Source organism: Homo sapiens, chromosome 21, assembly GCF_000001405.40.
Source record: "Homo sapiens chromosome 21, GRCh38.p14 Primary Assembly".
NCBI classification, from domain to species: domain Eukaryota; kingdom Metazoa; phylum Chordata; class Mammalia; order Primates; family Hominidae; genus Homo; species Homo sapiens.
The window spans coordinates 29,177,595-29,195,781 of NC_000021.9; the positions used below are offsets into that span (position 1 = coordinate 29,177,595).

The window sequence follows — 18,187 nt, forward strand, 5'->3', positions numbered from 1 at the left end:
TATGTGAGAAGGTGGAATTTCTTATATTATCTGTCTCTTTTTTTTCAATAATTTGACAAATTTCCACCAATCTTATTTACCACTGCATATTATCTATATAATGACCATTTAAGAATTTTCTATCTTCAAATATATTTGCAATATTCTTGCTATTAGCAATAATGACAATATTATAGAGCATAAAAACGAGCACAGAAGTATTATGGTGTTATTAGTACTATAGCATTAGGGTGAGGGTGCTTGCTTTAGAGATAGAATTAAAATAAAATGTAACTCACATTATATTCTTTAATTGCTCTACTAAAGAATTTGTCATTTATGGGCCATTTATTTTGTGTAGACATGAAAAGAATGTGGTTACACCTAGCTAGAAAATGTATAACCTTTCATATGGGCAGGGCATGTTTCTCTTTCTCATCCTGGTACCTGAGTTTGAGTGTATGATTAACTCAGTGCAAGTAAGGAGCTAAATAAAAGAGATCTGGAACTGAAATTCAATTCAACAAAAATTTATTATACACTTAGCTGGTGCAGGGCCGAGCAACAGCAATAGAAGATGCAAAAATGACAAAGATAATGTGGTCCTAGCACATTTAGGGATGGATTGCACTAGATTGCCCTAGAGAATAGAGGCACAGGGAACTGATACAAGGCTAATAGAAAAGCATGTGCAAGGCAAGTCTAAGAGCAGCAGCATTTGAAAGAGAGTAACAGACTAAGAGGGATGGGAAAGACATAATGGGAGGTAGACTCCACAGGGCTTCAGATGGATTGCATGTGTGATTGAGGCAAGGAAGAGGAAGAGAAAGAACATTTAATGACCTCCTTCAGTGCCAGACTATACTAGGTGCTTTGTATAGGCTGTATTATTTTAAACACCTGAGAGACAGCTGTGATTGTCCCTTTTCTCCAATGTTGTATAATTTGTAGAAAGTTCTCAGAGCTGGGATTCAAGTGCAAAGTTTCATTCACTCATTAATTCATATAGTCAATATTTATTGAATGTCCACGCTCTGCCAGGCATCCTGGAAGATACCAGGGACACAAAAGTGAACACTAGAAACAAGGGTTCTATTGGGTTCTCAAGGAACCCTTAGTCTAGTAAGGGAGGTAGATATTTATCTAAATACCCAAATGGGATAGTTTTAAAACATATCAAAAAATTTCCATAAGAGGTAGAGCCTAATTTCTCTCCCATTTAGTGTGGGTTGGACTTAAAGACATATTTTTAACAAATAGAGTCAAGCAGCAGTGACAACATCTGACTTCTAAGTCTAGGTCATGAAAGACATTGGAGCTTCCTTCCCACCTGCTGTCTCTTGGATCACTTGCCCTGGGGTGAGCCAGCTGCCACGGAGAAGCCCACAGGTAAGGAACTGACACCTTCGGCCAACAGCCACGTAAGTGAACTTGGAAGCAGATCTGCCAGCTCCAGGCAAGACTTCAAACGCTGCAGTCTGGCTGACATCTTGAGTGCAGCCTCATGAAAGTCTCTGAGTCAGAACCACCCAGCTGAACTGCCCCTGGTTCCCGATTCTCAGGAACTTTGAGGCAATAATACTGGTTTTAAGCTGCTAAGTTTGGGGTGATTTGTTTTGCAGCAATAAGTAATGAAGATAACCACAAAAATGAGATAAGTGACAAAATGTAGTTGATGAATGCACCTTAAAAACAGAATCTTGCCAGGTGCGGTGGCTCACGCCTGTAATCCCAGCAGTTTGGGAGGCTGAGGCGGGTGGATCACCTGAGGTCAGGAGTTCAAGACCAGCCTGGCCAACATGGTGAAACCCTGTCTCTACTAAATATACAAAAATTAGCCGGGCGTGGTGTTGGGCACCTGTAATCCCAGCTACTCGGGAGGCTGAGGCAGGAGAATCGGTTGAATCCGGGAGGCAGAGTTTGCAGTGAGTTTGCACTCCAGCCTGGGCAACAAGAGTGAAACTTTGTCTCAAACAAACAAACAAACACGGAATCTTACTGAGATAGGGAGTCTGGGATGGCTGCTTAGTGTAGTGTCTACTGAGCTAAGATCTAATGGATGAGTAAGAACTAAAGAGGCAAAGAAGGCAGGTGGAGGAAGACAACCTAGACAGAGTGAAAACACATGCAAAGGCCCTGTGACATGCTCAAAGACCTGAAGAAAGGCCAGGATGGCTGAGCATGAAGGGGTAGGGAGAATATAGTATTAGGTAGTATAGTATAAGGTAAGGTTGTAGAATAGGTCAAGAACTTGAAGATCACATTAAGAATGTTGGCCTAAAAGCAAAGAGAAGCCATTGGAGAATTTTAAGCATATTACAGGGGTAACATGTTTTTTGCTAGAATAGCATGTTTTTTAAGAGTTTTCTGGCTGGGTACAGTGGCTCACACCTGTAATCCCAGCACTTCATGAGGCCAAGGTGGGCGGATCACCTGAGGTCAGGAGTTCGAGAACAGCCTGGCCAATGTGGTGAAACCTCATCTCTACTAAAAAAAAAAAAAAAAAAAAATGTAGCAGGGCATGGTGGCGTGCCTGTAATCCCAGCTACTTGGGAGACTGAGATGGGAGAATCACTTGAACCCAGAAGGTGGAGGTTGCAGTGAGCCGAGATCACGCCACTGCACTCCAGCCTGGGTGCGACAGAGTGAGACTCAGTCTCAAAAAAAAAAAAGAGTTTTCTAAGTTACCTAACTTAAGTTGCTTAGAGTGCTATATAGGGTTATTTATACTATACATATTTAGGTAGACAGATAGTAGAAAGATGATAGGGTTCTTTAGATGGGGTTGTTATACACATTTTACTTGCGATGTCCTCTGTGGTTGTTATTATTTTGTATTACAAGAAGGGAAACCCCTCAGATTGCACCCTCTCTCTCTTACTTTCCCAGAGGAAGAGCGGAACAGTTCTCAATGGCAAATGGAAGTTGCAGTGAAGCAGCACCCAGAGCCAGTGTCAGGCTCCCGAGAGAGCGCTGCACCGCTGCATGTGGTTTCTGGTGCTCTACATGTTCGGAGAAACTTATCTGGTAGTGAGCTATAGAAACAATCCCTGCAAGCGTCGTCTTTATAAGGTCATTTTAATGACTATTTTTCTCCTCAGGAAATAGGTAAGCCCTCAGCAGTATCAAATAGCCTGGCAGAATAAAAGGCTGATTGAGTCGGCCTCCGCTGTGACCATTAACATATTTAATTTGGTGACACCAAATAATCCTGCCTTTTATGAAAATGTCTACAATCTGTCTTGTTTTTTACCACTTTAGAGTTGACAAACTCCATGTTGGAACAGAGTATTCTTAAACAGAACCCTTAAAACCATATTTTTCACCTCTCTGTTTTTATCTATCTATCTATCTATCTATCTATCTATCTATCTATCTATCTATCTATTGAGACAGGGTCTTGCTCTGTCACCCAGGCTGGAGTGCAGTCGTGTGATCACGGTTCTCTGCAGCCTCGATCTCCTGGGCTCTAGCTATCCTCCCAACTAGCTCAGATTACAGGAATGCACCATGAGGCCCAGTTATTTTAAAAAATATTTTGTAGAGATGAGGGTCTCTCTTGTTGGCCCAGGCTGGTCTTGAACTCCTGGGCTCAAGCAATCCTCCTGCCTTATCCTTCGAAAGTGCTGGAATTACAGGCGTGAGCCACCACACCTGGTCTATTATTATTATTTTATTATTATTATTATTTTTAATTTGAGATGGAGATGGAGTCTCTCTCTATTGCCCAGGCTGGATTGCACTGGTGCGTTCTCAGCTCACTGCAACCTCCCCCTCCCGGGTTCAAGCAATTCTCCTGTCTCAGCCTCCTGAGTAGCTGGGATTACAGACATATACCACCATGCCCAGTTAGTTTTTTGTATTTTTAGTAGAGACGGGGTTTCTCCATGTTGGTCAGGCTGGTCTCGAACTCCCGACCTCAGGTGATCCGCCTGCCTCGGCCTCCCAAAGTGCTGGGATTACAGGTGTGAGCCACTGTGCCCAGCCCCTCTTATTTTTAAAGAATGAGAATAATCTGAGCTGGGAATGCAGCTCACATCAAACATGAACATAGAAAGGGAAATGCACAAAGTGAGAGATGAAATCACTCACAAAGCTGATAGCATGAACTTCTAGATTCCCTGAATACCCTTCCAGTTTTAATTTCCTATGTTTTAATTCACTGGGAATATATTCCTTAATTTCTCATAATTACAAACAAATGCTCCCTAGAAGAAAAATTTATGCTTAAGAGAGTATTCGGTTCCAGTGTTAAAATCATATCCTTTCATTTTTCTCTGAAACTTTGAAAATGTCTCTGTTCAGTCCTTTGTGTGTACTTCTCAGGCAGTACTGAAGACAGAGAGATAAAAGGGGCGGTGCTGACACACGTAGATGACTGGGGCTCTGACAATGACCGTGAGCTGATGACCTGAGTCACACAAACTGGAAAACAAAGTTTTTCCCTAAGGAGTTGGACTTTTAAAAACTTTTTATTGGCTGCTTTTGGATTAAGGTGTTTAGGACCAGCATTATGAGCAGAAGGACTCAGTGTGTATGAAGAAGAAACCAAGTTTTTCTACAGCAGAAGAGGAGGAATTTGCCTTTGCAAAATGTTATACTGTTTTATCTGTCGCTGAACGTGTCTGGGCAGTGGCTGTTCTCCCAGGTCTGAGTCCTGAAAAGGGAAAGAGAAAGAGATTGTAGGACACGGTGAAATGATACACGAAACAGCGTTTCCCCAGCTTCTTATTTGCCTGTACATTTCTCATAAATGGAGTAAATGCTGAACAAGCTGACTTTCTCCCATCATTCCTGTAAATAAGGATATGACTCACAGACCTTGCAATCTCTAAAATGCCATAGCTACTACAGTGATTTGATTATTTAAAAATAGCTGGGGAAAAAAACAGCAAGAAATTGGTCCTGGGTAAGTTAGGATGAATTCTTTTCTGTTTGTTTTTGTTTATCATTTAAATTGTTATTGTATCTCACCCTAAGTATTCTGACAACATCTAGTTTGCCAAACAAATCTTAGGGATTTATGAGTTCTGGAAACTAACAATATGAACGTGCTGGTCAGATCTCAGATCCCAGGCAAATAAACCCAAAAAACAAAAAACAAAAGACAACAAGACACAAGGTTCACCATGGAGTCACTGTGATCTGCGGGCAACTATGGATTTGGTTATATGATCTCCTTTTCTATAAAGTGGAGAGAGATAAGTGTTGACATCACTTAAATACGCTGAGCCCCACCCCCAAATAACACAAATGCTGGTAACAACAATAATTTATATTAAGCCTACTGAACGGCTTTTGTTGATCTTTAACTAGCCTATCTAGAAATGGGAAACGAGTGACCTCTATTATTACTCAAGTACTAAAACTCCCCAAGTAGGACTGTTTGTCAAAACTAGGAGTGAGTTTGAGATTCAGGATTAAGGTTCAAGTAGGGAATCTCCATTTACCCTGCATCTCAGTCTTACACTGTATTATCAGGGTCTTGGGAGGAAAGAGAAGCACACTTAAGAAGGCATGATAAAAAGAGAAAGTAATGAAGGGATTATTATAAAGTTAGAGGAAGAGTTAAGGGAAATAAGAAGGGTTGATGAGGTCCTTGGGGTGGCTGCTTCAGGGAAGTCTTCTCTAGGCTTTCAAGGGCAAGCAAAGGACCACTGACATTCCTCACAAACTTGCACTTTGGTGAGGGAGCCGGGCCACAGCTGACCTAGGGCTTAGCAGAAAATCTCTCTCTCCTTCTGTCCTTCCATCCTCTCCTGGTGGCTGCCACTGGCCAAGCCCAACTACAAACGACAGAACAAGGGAGCTTGGTTGCTGGGGTCCATCATACAGCCAGTCTTTCAGGGTGCAGAGCAGGGTGAATGGGTGAAGAGTGGATCTGCAGGGGAACATGGATAGTGTCGGGCACAGACCACTGACAAACGAAAGAGATGGAAATGCTTCAGAAAAGAAAGCAGGATGGCCAGGTCGGTGGTTTTTTTTTTTGTGTGTGTGTGGAGATGGAGTCTTGCTCTGTCACCCAGGCTTGAATGCAATGGCGCAGTGTTGGCTCACTGCAACCTCCGCCTCCTGGGTTCAAGCAATTCTCCTGCCTCAGCCTCTCTAGTAGCTGGGATTACAGGCGTGCACCATCACGCCCAGCTAATTTTTTGTATTTTTTTCTAGCAGAGACAGGGTTTCACCATGTTGGCCAGGCTGGTCTTGAACTCCTGACCTCAGATGATCCACCCGCCTCAGCCTCCCAAAGTGCTGGGATTACAGGCGTGAGCCACCTCACCCGGCCAGGCCTGTGATTTTAATCATGGGATCTTGCCTAGTGGTAAAGCCCCATTAAATGTCTGAAAATCTGAATCAGAAGGATCAGCAACTGTTCTTCCCTAGGAATGGATCAAAGGTAGGTCCTATGGATACGGCTTGTCTGTCCCCACCAAAACTCATGTTGAAATTTGATCACGAATATGGTGGTGTTGAGAGGTGGGGTCTAGTGGGAGGTGTTTGGGCCAGGAGCATGGCCTTATGAATAATGCAGTTTTCCAGGTAGTGAGTTCTTGCTTTCATGAGACTGCATTAGTTCTTGTGGGAATGGATTAGTTCCCTAAAGTGTGAGTTATTATAAAGCAAAGTTCCTGTTCCTGTTTGATCCTCTCTCTTCTCACTTGTCTGCTTCCCCTTTGACCTACTCTGCCCTGCAATGTTATGACACAGAAGAATGCCCTCACCAGAAGCCATGGCCATACTTTTGAACTTCTCACCCTGCAGAACCGTGGACTAGATACACTTCTTTCCTTTGTAAATTACCCAGTCTCATGTATTCTGTTATAGCAAGACAAAATGGACTAAGACAGTAGGGTTGCCAGGGAAAAGACAGGCATCCAGTTAAAATTGAATTTCAGAAATTAGATAAACTTTTTTTTTCAGTATAAGTATATCCCAAATATTGCATGGGAGGTACTTAAAGAGTTGTTGTTCATTTGAAATTCAATTTTAACTGGGCATCCCGTATTTTTATAAATATGGTAATTCTAAGGGCACTTCCTTCTCACTAAAGATACTAGAATTAGAATTTGAATATGGTATAGCATTCCTGAAACCTTGTTCTTTCAACACCAATTTTTGAAATGTTAAGTATTTCCAAACAAATGAACAAAAAAACAAGCTAAACACTGTTTCATAGTCAAAGAAGTTAAAAAAACAGTGGATTAAAATAAAGTTAAATAGTTCTCACAGCTTTAGGATTTCTCCTGGGACTTAATGCTAACATGCATTGTGACAACAATGATAGTGTTTTTCCTTGCTTTATTTGAAAACCATCACAACAAAGAAACAGCCCAATATTCTTCTGTTTCAGTGTGACCATAGGTTTCCATTGAAATGCAGTTTAAATTTTAAAAAGTCATTTTGGTGTCTATTATGTTAAAGTAAAATTTTACTATTACCAAAGTAAAATTTTACTATTACCTCAATCTTGCTTTAAGACTAAATTTATATTTATAAAGATGTTTTAAAGCTCTCTATAAATGTTTGCAAAGTAATAGCATTGTATTTAATAAGCTATTAAATTGTTCACTTGATACTGGTTTTGCTAAGCTTAATATGAAGAATCAATTAAAACTAAATTATCATCTAAGCAGGGACAATCCTAGATTATTCAGAGAGAAAAATGAGGATAAAAACATTAGCTCTGTCTGCTTCTCAAGGTTATTTTTGGAAAGAAATGAAGTAATGTTGTGAAAGGCTGTGCAAATATTACTGCAAGGATACAAATTACCCTCCCTGTAGAGTGGATGGGATTTTCACAATTTTCTCCCTTTCTGGTCATAGGTATTTTATCTAATTTGTTGTCCAGTCTGTAATTCTACCCTGTTGTGTGCAGTGGGAGTGAAAGGGAGGTACATGAATTAGGATTAGAATTGCTTGTGAAGGACAGAAACCTGCCAAATAACGGTGCCTTAAACAAGGTGGAAGTTTCCTTTTCTCTCATGCAAAAGACTGGGATGTGTAGTCCTGGGCTGAAATAGAGGCTCTTCTCCATCAAATCTCCAAGGCTTCAAACTTCTTTGCCATTATTGAGCAATGTTTCTCAATCTCATGGTCCAAGATGGCGGTATATATATTCCAGGCAACCAGAGAAGGAAGGAACAAAGAAGTGGCTGAGGCAGTGGGGTGGCTGGCTGTCCTGGAAGCTGGCACAAGATGCTTTCAGTTACATGCTTGAAATGGTTAATTTTATGTATCAAGTTGACTGGGCCACAGGATGCCCAGATATTTGGTCAACCAGTATTCTGCATATGTCTGTGAGAGTATTTTTGGATGCGGATAACGATTGAATCGGCAGACTGAAAAAAGCATATTTTCCATCCTAATGTGGGTGGGCCTCATCCAATCTACTAAAGACCTGAAGAGAACAAAAGGTTGACCCTCCTACAAGTAAGAGAGAACTCCTCCTGCCTGACTGCCTTGACCCTGAGACATGGGCTCTTTTTTGCCTTCAGTCTCAAACTAAAATATTGGTCTCTTCCTGGATCTTGAGCCTGCCAGCCTTTGGATTGGAACTACACCATGGCTCTTCTGGGCCTCCTGCTTGCTGGCTGCAGATTTTGGTACCTGTCAGCCTTCATAATCTCATGAGTCAATTCCTTATTGTATATTGATATCTATCTATCTATCTATCTATCTATCTATCTATCTATCTATCATTGATAACCTCTCTATCTATTGGTTCTGTTTCTCTGGACAATGCTGACTAATACAATCCTATTGTCTGGAACTTAGTATGCAAGAAAGAGAGTGAGTATATGGGGTGAAATGTATAGGAGTGGAGCTAAAAGACTTTGCTGCAGGAGAGGAGTTCAAGTCATTGAGGGCAGTTATGAGTCAGCAATAATGTTGGTGCAGTATTTTATTTCAGGAGTCAATTAAAAGTATTGTCATTTTAGCAGTTTATGTCTTCCATTTATCAAATTGAGTATAGTGCCTTCCTCTGTCCTACCAGATGAAAGTTTATGAAAGATACTAATCATTTCCAAATTCCTTCATTTTTACTATCTATCCAGATTATTTTAAATACAGTATCTCTATAAATAGCACTTTGTCCATTGATATATGTTTGTGTTTACATGATTGTGTGTGTGTGTGTGTGTGTGTGCACGTGCAAAACATGGAAATAGGATATTTGGTCTACCTTAATCCCTGGAATGGAAGTAATGGTGATTACTTTTGTATAGCAAGTAATAAACTCCCAAATGGTTGGCATTTCCTTTTTCTTATACTAGACAGAGTCAAAGGTGAAGGATGATAAAGAAAAGTTTTGACAATAGTGCCAAATTACCTTCCTCAGTTCCTAGATTGGGGATTTTCAATCTAGGGGCAGATGTCACTATAATATAAGAGGTCTAGTCCTTGATTTCAGAAGCAGCTATCCAAGCTCTTATAAGAACTGATGATAGGAACTTGTCTCTCTTCTCAAGTTCTGTACAACAACCACTTATCCATAGCTCTTGATGGTTACTGCTCAGCCATTTCTTGCCAGCTGTTCTTTCCATGTGCAGGGAGAGCATGGGAGTATGGAGCCTCAGTTTGGTTTGCTATTGTCAGGACATCAAACTAATCATTAGGTAGAAAGTTGAATAAACATTTACTTTTGACTTTTAAATGGTTACTTCAGAAAGTTTTACTTAGCGGCAAGACCAACTACATAATTTGCGGGGCCCAGTGCAGTGTGAAAATTTGGGGTCCATTTTTGCAAAAAATATTAAGAATCTCAAGATAGTGACAGAGCTTTAAGGCCAATTCAGGCTCCTCCTGCGTGCAGGACTCTGTGTAACTACACAGGTAGCACAGCTAGGATGCAGACGCTGCTCAATGTTATACATTTAGTACTTTGATGTCCCTGAATTCCTTACAAAACTCTTACTTCCTCCCCTCCCCACCCAAGTCCCCAGCTCTTCTGTTTTTTTCCAAAACTTTACTTGTGTACAACACTATGAAACATGACAGGGTCTGATGAGAAAGTATTAATTGGCTTTAACCTAGTTTTTTTTCATTTTTATTTCTGAATATCAGCACTCATAGCCCTTTTCCCTATTTTCTGACTTACCCTAATACAACTCCATATCGTACAAAGCTTCATAGTCCTGTATATGCATGTGGTGAACATTTGTGTGGCTATTTGCAGCTGATGGATTAGTATCCATAAGTTGAGAGGATTCTTCAAAGGTCCTGAGATTGAATATGAAAAAATGACCTGTAAGAATTAAGTCATCCACATGTAGCACAGATGGACGAATTACCAAGGGAGATGGCATATATCTGGATCACAAAAGACTTATAAGGCAAATTAAAGGCATGTATTCTCATCAAAGTAACCTCTGATTGCTTTATTTCCTGGAATACTCTATTATCGGTGTCAGGGTTCTCCAGAGAAACAAAATCAATAGGATGTATATAAATTTCCTGTATGGAATATGGTTTGGTTATGTAGGAAGTGCAGAAGGATGAGTGAGTGGAATTACATGTGAGGAATTGGCTCCCATGATTATGAAAGTGGGCAAGTTCAAAGATCTGGAGGTGAGTCAGCAAGCTTGGCTAGAGACCCAGTTGGCAGGCTCAAGACTGAGGAGGAGCTGATGTCCCAGTTTGAAGGTAGCCAGGCAGCAAGAATTCTCTCTTACTTAGGGGACAGTAGTCTTTTTGTTTTATTCAGGCCTTCAAATGATTGGATGAGGCCTGCGCACACTGGAAAGGCCAATCTGTTTTATTTGGTCTGCCTGTTTAAATGCCAGTCTCACTCAACAACACTCCCAAGAAACACCCACAATAATGTTTGACCGAATACCTGGAGACCCCATGGCCCAGTCAAGTTGACACATGAAATTAAGGTACCACAGATATCCTATTGTCACAAACTCTGTATAGCACTTAAAATTCCTGGTTTCATGCTTGGTACAGAAAGTTAGCTACTGTTCATCATTTGTTTAATTCTACACGTGGCCATAACTTAAGATTAATTATAACAAAGTTTAATTAGAACGAAAGATGTAATTAGATGTAAATTCTTGCATCAAGTGGTTGCTTTGTGCTAGGCACAGGTTAGGACTGCAAAGATGACTACAAATGGCTGATTACTACAAAGGACATTGTAGTAATTTTATTTTTATTTTTATTATTTTTTTTGAAATGGAGTTTTGCTCTTGTTGCCCCGGCCGGAGTGCAATGGCGTTATCTTGGCTCACTGCAACCTCCGCCTCCCGGTTCAAGTGAGTCTCCTGCCTCAGCTTCCCTAGTAGCTGGGATTACAGGCACTCGCCACCATGCCCAGCTATTATTTTGTATTTTTAGTAGAGACAGGGTTTCACCATATTGGTCAGGCTGGTCTTGAACTCCTGACCTCAGGCGATCCACCCACCTTGGCCCACCAAAGTGTTGGGATTACAGGCGTGAGCCACCGCACCTGGCAGGACATTGATTTAGAAACAGCTTTATTAAGTGGATTTTACCTGAGAGTTTCTTCCTATACTTTTAGTCCTTGTCAGAGATGTGATGTATTTTCTCTTGTGACTGCACTTTTAAAGTTGGAATCCTATGAATGCCGTCAGCACTACTATGTGGAATATGGTTTGGTTATGTAGGAAATGCAGAAGACTGAGTGAGTGGAATTACTCAAAAGTGGATCAGAAAGCAGTTATGGTCATAGACATCAGCCTCAGTGGGGCAACAGGAGTTGGAAGGAGTAAACTGAGGGAAAAAATCAGTAGAATACTGGATGGAGCAGACAGAGTGAGACTGAATGGGAGAAGGGTGAGGTGGGCTGAGACAGCTGGTCACATTCAGCTCTAAATTCTTGAAGAAGTAGTTTAGACTACACCAAGGATGGGGGATAAAACCCAGCCTAGAGCTCAGAGAAGGTGGATGTGGCACGGGAAATAAGAATTGTCATTGTTGAATTCCTTGAGAAAAAAATGTGAAGAAGAGGCTTGAGGCCTCAAAGACATTGCATGCATGAGTCAGAACAAGCTTGAACTACAAGGAAGATTTGATTAATGAATCAAATATTAATGCCACATTTTCTCTTATTTCAAGTGTTTTTTTTTCCAACTATTATCTCTGTGTAGAATGTCTTCGCTCTCTGCCATCACCTTATTATTAATAACTCCTATTAACTCTTAGGTCTCAGCCTTGCTGTTACTTCCTCCCCAGAAGTCTCCTTTAACCCCTAAAGACTGGGCTTGGTGCTTTTCTCCTGTGTTCTCAAGTCACCCTACTCTAGAACTATGTCACTGATTTAAATTGCTTTCTGGTAGGGCGCGGTGGCTCACACCTGTATTCCCAGCACTTTGGGAGGCCGAGGCAGGCAGATCACGAGGTCAGGATTTCGAGACCGGCCTGACCAACAGGGTGAAACCTCGTCTCTACTAAAAATACAAAAATTAGCTGGGCATGGTGGTGGGGGCCTGTAGTTCCAGCTACTTGGGAGGCTGAGTCAGGAGAATCACTTGAACTCAGGAGGCGGAGGTTGCATCCAGCCGAGATCGCGCCACTGCACTCCAGCCTGGGCAACAGAACGAGGCTCCATCTCAAAATAAATAAATAAATAATAAAATAAAAAAGAAATCGCTTTCTGACATGTCTATTTTCCTGAATGAGCTGGGAGCTCCTCAATGACAATAGCTATTTCTTGTTTAAAGTCGTATCCCCAGAAACTATAAGCTTAGTAGATATTTGCTATGTGAAAGAAGGAATGAAAGAATGAATGAGGACTTGATTCCTGTACTCCCAACAACATTTAAGACACTGTGCTGAGTATTCAGTAAGGAGGCATCAGGAAGGGTGAGGTAGAGGTGGTAGTGAAACCAAAAAATTGAACACTGTTCCTGGCTTCAGAGAACATGTAGTCTATTAACAATTGTGAATAATGGTGTAATACAAGACACATGACATAATACAGTACTACAACACAAGACAAGAGAATAGGATTGCCATATTTAGCAAATAAAAATACAGGATGCCCAGTTAAATTTGAATTTCAGGTAAGCAACAAATAGTATGTATATATCTCATGGACTATTTGGGAGATACTAATACTAAAAATTATTCATTGCTTATTAAAATTCAAATTTGATTGGATAGCCTATATTTTAGCAACCCTCAGTGAGAAGAACTGGAGCTGTAAGAGATTGCTTTTGTTTTTGTTTTTTCATTTTTTCAGGGATGGAATGGAGGTCTTGGAGAAAGGTAAATGATTTGGGAAATGTTTTCCGGAAAAGATAGGAACAGAGTTGAGTTGCAAAGATCACAAGACAAAATGTGAGGGGGTGCAGTTCTGGTAGAAGAAACCTCAGATGAAAAGGTGATACTGTGGCAGGATCAGAGACTGGCTGACATCTGGTTTGGCCAGAGTGTGAAAGGGTGGTGAGAAACCCAACTACAGGGTTGGGCAGGGCCTGGTGACTCCATATGTTCCAAAGCCTCAGTCTCCTGGGCACCCTGCCCCCTTCGCCTTGGCCACGTTTTGTGAACAAGCAGAACTAGATCTTGCTGCCTGGGCAAATGTTTCATCCTTACCTAGTTAATTAGGCTTGAACATTAGTTTCTCTCTGGAAATAGTGAAGAAGAAACACCAGGAGCATTTTGCAAGGGTCATACATTGCTCAATGTTTGCATTTTTTCAAAAACACTGGTGTCAAAACAGCATGTCCAGCAAAGTTGAGGGAAAAGTGAAAACTAATGATGACTTATCAAAACAAGATGTGATGGTGTGGGAAATGCTACTAACTTCTACAGCATTTGTAATTTTCGTCTTTCTCTTCTGTTATAACATATGTTTAGCATTATATAGTAAATATAGAATAAAACAGATACAAATAGCTTATTTGTAATCTAAGAAGAGGGGGAAATGTTTAGATAATAAAGTTGGGCACCTACTGTGTTCCAGGTGGCAACATATGTTATTTCTCTTAATCTTCATAACAATACTATAATACTATGGTATATATTATGATGATTTTAATGTGCATCTTGCTGAATTTCACAATGTTTATTTGCTCATCTATGATCACTCAACTAGCAATTGGTTATTTTGAAATTCAAATCTGGTTTGACTTCAACATCTATATTGTTTCCATTTACCACACCTATAGATAGGTACTCACAGATAAACAATAATTATGGTGCAGTTATGGCAGATACACTGTGGGAACAGACAAGAGGGAGCATTTAATTCTGTCTTGAGGACATCAAGGGTGGCTTTGGAAGGAGATGATGCTTGAGTGGTGATTGATGACAATGATCTCATTTTCTAATAAGTTTAATAACAGGCAATGCATGAAACATATTCACAAGTAAGATAAATATTAATAGTTTTAAAAACACATGTATTTCATCCTAATAAGCTCTCATTAGGTTTCTGTAACCTTTTATTAAATGTTCCACACTGATCACATTGATGACAAACACAAATTCTTTTTTTTTTTTTTTTTTTTTGAGATGGAGTTTTGCTCTTGTTGCCCAGACTGGAGTGCAATGGCACCATCTTGGCTCACCGCAACCTCCACCTCCTGGGTTCAAGCGATTCTCCTGCCTCAGCCTCCCGAGTAGCTGGGATTATAGGTGTGCACCACCATGCCCGGCTAATTTTGTATTTTCAGCAGAGACGGGGTTTCTCCATGTTGGTCAGACTTGTCTCGAACTCCCAACCTCAGGTGATCCGCCCACCTCGGCCTCTCAAAGTGCTGGGATTATAGGCGTGAGCCACCGCACCCGGCCAACAAACACAAATTCTTATACTTGCTACCACAAACATCATTAGTCATATTTATTAGATGGTCATTATTTATTAATTTAAATTAAATAATTAAATATTCATTAAATCATTAAAACCTTCAGCTACTTATATGATTATAGTTTGGTGCTGTTTTTGCAAAGACACTACACATTCACATAGAAATATGTCTAAAACTTTTTTATAATTCTATAAACTACATGAATGGTTATACAGTTGAGTTGACTAAATTCCTCCCACATAATTATTTCAATTACATAAAATATTACTTACATAACTGGAATGGTATTATAGCTATAAAATACTCAAGTCTGTAGTTACATAAAATTAAATTCAGTAAAAAGAAAGGCCTAAAATTTTAGCAACATACTCTCTAGAGAAAAGCTGCTAAACAGTTGTGTTTCTATAAGTTTTAAAATACAATTGTAAAAATAAAAACTAAAAACAAAATTTTTCAAAATTTTGCTTTCTCAAAAGACATTAGCCAAATTTTAATAAAAACATTGAAGAGTTTGTTTTGCATACACTCCGATGAGATGAACTAATATTATCATCCCCTTTTAAACCAAATTTTGTTTGCAAATCTTCTCTCCAAGAAGCCCCCTAAACAGATCTTACTTTCCTTTTGGTAATGCTTACTTATGATCTGTTGGCAACTTATTCGTATTGTTACAGGTAGTTAGATAGGCATGAGTGGGGCAGGAGAGCGCTCTTCCCCCACCCACTAGGAATGTCCGGGGATGGTTTGACAATTATCACACTGCCTCTCTAGCAATGATAATTCAGCAGCCTGTGCCAGGGAGAGACAATCTCCTGATGATCCACAGCTGTTAACATTAAAGTGTTAATTGAATGCAGATGCCAGGGAAAGCAGCCTCCTGGGCATGTACCGTAAAAGACAAGTTGGCGGAGTATGACCTTTTGGGGACACTCCATCGGAAAAAAGGGAAGGAAGGATCAGACGCGGCTGTATACAACTTCTTAAACTCACTGTGTGCTCAATTCCCAGAAGTAAGGAGGGCACTGCGCATGCGGGAAGCCCACCCTAAGGGAGGAATTATGGGAAAGAGGCAAGCCTGTAAAGCCCGAGGATCAAGGTTAAACGCTCTCTTTTTGACCTTCAGGCACCCTCTTGGGTCTTTTACAAGTGAACTTTCTTTCCTGTTTTAAAGCCTTTTAAATAAACTTCCACTCCTGTGCTGAAACTTGCCTTAGTCTTTTTTTCTGCTTTATGCCCCTCAGTCGAATTCTTTCATCTGAGGAGGCAAGAATTGAAGTTGCTGCAGACGCCTGTGGATTCACCACAAGTACATTGGAGTAACCACTGGGAACAACAGGTTGCCTTAGAAGCTTTGCAGGTTGTTTTGTTTTTTTGTTTGTTTGTTTTTTTGAGACGGGGTCTCACTTTGTCGCCCAGGTTTGTTGCCCAGGCTGGAGTGCAGTGGCGCAATCTCGGCTCTCCGCAACCTCTGCCTCCCGGGCTCAAGTGATCCTCCCACCTCGGCTTCCCGAGTACCTGGGACTACAGGCATGCACCACCACACCCGGCTAATTTTAATTTTTATTTTGTATTTTTAGTAGAGTTGGGGTTTCACCATGTTCCCAGCTGGTCTTGAACTCTTGAGGTGAAGCAATCCGCCCACCTCAGCCTCCCAAAGTGCTGAGATTACAGACGTGAGCCATCGCGCCTAGCCTTGCAAGTTGTTTTTTGTTGAACAGAAGAAGCTATTCAAAAATGTCCAGGACTCTGTTATTTATTCAGCAAGCTTACAAAGCCATCTTTGATTGACTGATTCTTTGACAATGACTATCTGGATGACACAGGAAGGATGCAATTCTGGCCTTGGAGAGAAAACTTGCAAGGAAAGGAACATGTTTGAATTTCAGATGTGTTCCTCAATGAATCACGTAAGTTTGCTGTTTATATTCATTAAAGAATACGTTTTAAATGAGGATAAAATTACAACTTTCATACAATATAAAATAAATGTGTCGGATTTAACTCAGGAATTAATAAGGTGATAAATAGATGTTGCAAGGAGTTCAAAAGAGAACCACACATTTATGGTTAAATAAGGAATGTGAAATGAATTTACAAACAAATGCAAAACTGGCAAAACTGGTCAATATCCACACAAACCCAGTTTGCATTTTCATGGACAGAGATTATTTGCATTCCAATCAATTTTCTCCAAGGTAACTTCTGTGTCTAAAGAGTTGTGAAATAGCCCAATCAGAGGCAAACAAAGGCACAGATAACCCAGACGGATGAGCTAGACAAAGCATTTCACCTTTTTTCTCTACGTATTCTTTCTTTACCAGGGTGATTTTGGTGCATCTGACACCTTTTCAATGATTAATAAATCAAGATCCAGAAATTAGTGAATAAAATTAAGTATTGGGGACTGTAGGGGGAAAACATTTCTCTCTACTCTGCATATCTTTTAGCTGGGGCAGACCGCCGCAACAAAAGACTGATTAACGAGGGAAAAAAGGACGTTTCATAACGTGTATCTTCTGTATACCTGGGAGAAACTTAGAGAAATGAGCAAATCTCAAAGACATGGCTTTGAATTCAGGCTTAAATCCTATCTTCCACTGAAACAAAGACAGAAGGGTGAGGGGAAGGCCAGTTATGGTGAGACGCCCAGGAAAACACAGTAAGCAAAGGTCAAGTTTGTTATGCAGATCTAAGTTGGTGCCTTCTCCACTGAGTCTCTAATGATTTAGTCATCCTTCTCATCCTGGTACAGAGAGGAAGACACTTACAAATGGAGATTTCCTTTACAGATATACATTTTTCTTACAAAAGGGTAACTTTTACTCTGTTTTCAGAGCTTCTCCTGTGTCTGCAATTTCTCAAAATACCTCAAAATAATCCTTATGCCAAACAGGCATATTTTCATCTCCTACAGGTCAAAGATATTCACATTCAAGAGTTTGGGAATGAAATTCATTTTGGATAATAATATAAAAATCAAGGTTTCTTTTGAGGGCATGGCGTTAACTAATTACAATTTGACACAAAAATGGAACTGTCATTCTATTTTCTGTACATGGTCCATGAAATACAACATGAGAATTTGGAATGATTTGGGTCAGTTATCCAACTACCAGCAATCTCCTTGTAACTCACAGATCCCCCTCTATAATAATCACAATGATAATAACAGCAATAATAATAAAAACTGTGACACCTGAGTCTTATTGATCCCTTAACAGGTGCCAGACGCCGTGCTAGGTGTTTTAGCTATAATTTCTTAAATTGAATTTCCATAATAGCATATACAGTGGATGTAATTATGCTAATTTGTGAAATAGCAGTTCATGCCTTCCTTCCTCTCAGCCCCTCTTTTCAATAAAGTAAAAAAAATTTAAGCAAACAAGTTTCATTGAATGATCTCGATTATAGTATTTCAAAAGCGTGGT

General features: G+C 40.3%; 2 long non-coding RNA genes and 1 other non-coding gene across 3 annotated transcripts in view, besides 2 other annotated features; 2 read left to right on the forward strand and 1 right to left on the reverse strand.

The window, feature by feature from the left end:
* Positions 1–500: 500 nt before the first annotated feature.
* Positions 501–7,208, forward strand: LOC105372767 (uncharacterized). Its single transcript, XR_007067837.1, has 3 exons — positions 501–1,368; positions 2,869–3,087; positions 4,306–7,208. It is a non-coding gene; the product is annotated as an uncharacterized LOC105372767 (long non-coding RNA).
* LOC124905065 (small nucleolar RNA U3) lies at positions 2,831–3,045 on the reverse strand. Its single transcript, XR_007067941.1, has one exon. It is a non-coding gene; the product is annotated as a small nucleolar RNA U3 (small nucleolar RNA).
* Positions 4,556–4,645: an enhancer, noted in NCBI's record as "active region_18340". NCBI's record gives its function as "activates an Ori minimal core promoter by ATAC-STARR-seq in GM12878 lymphoblastoid cells {active_cell/tissue: GM12878}" and the evidence as "EXISTENCE:reporter gene assay evidence [ECO:0000049][PMID:35858748]".
* Positions 6,521–6,610: an enhancer, noted in NCBI's record as "active region_18341". NCBI's record gives its function as "activates an Ori minimal core promoter by ATAC-STARR-seq in GM12878 lymphoblastoid cells {active_cell/tissue: GM12878}" and the evidence as "EXISTENCE:reporter gene assay evidence [ECO:0000049][PMID:35858748]".
* An 8,691-nt stretch (positions 7,209–15,899) lies between the features above and the next one.
* Positions 15,900–18,187, forward strand: part of LINC00189 (long intergenic non-protein coding RNA 189) — a 94,712-nt gene continuing 92,424 nt past the window's right edge. Inside the window, exon 1 of the long non-coding RNA NR_027072.2 lies at positions 15,900–16,666. This is a non-coding gene — a long non-coding RNA (long intergenic non-protein coding RNA 189). The remainder of the gene's footprint in view (positions 16,667–18,187) is intronic.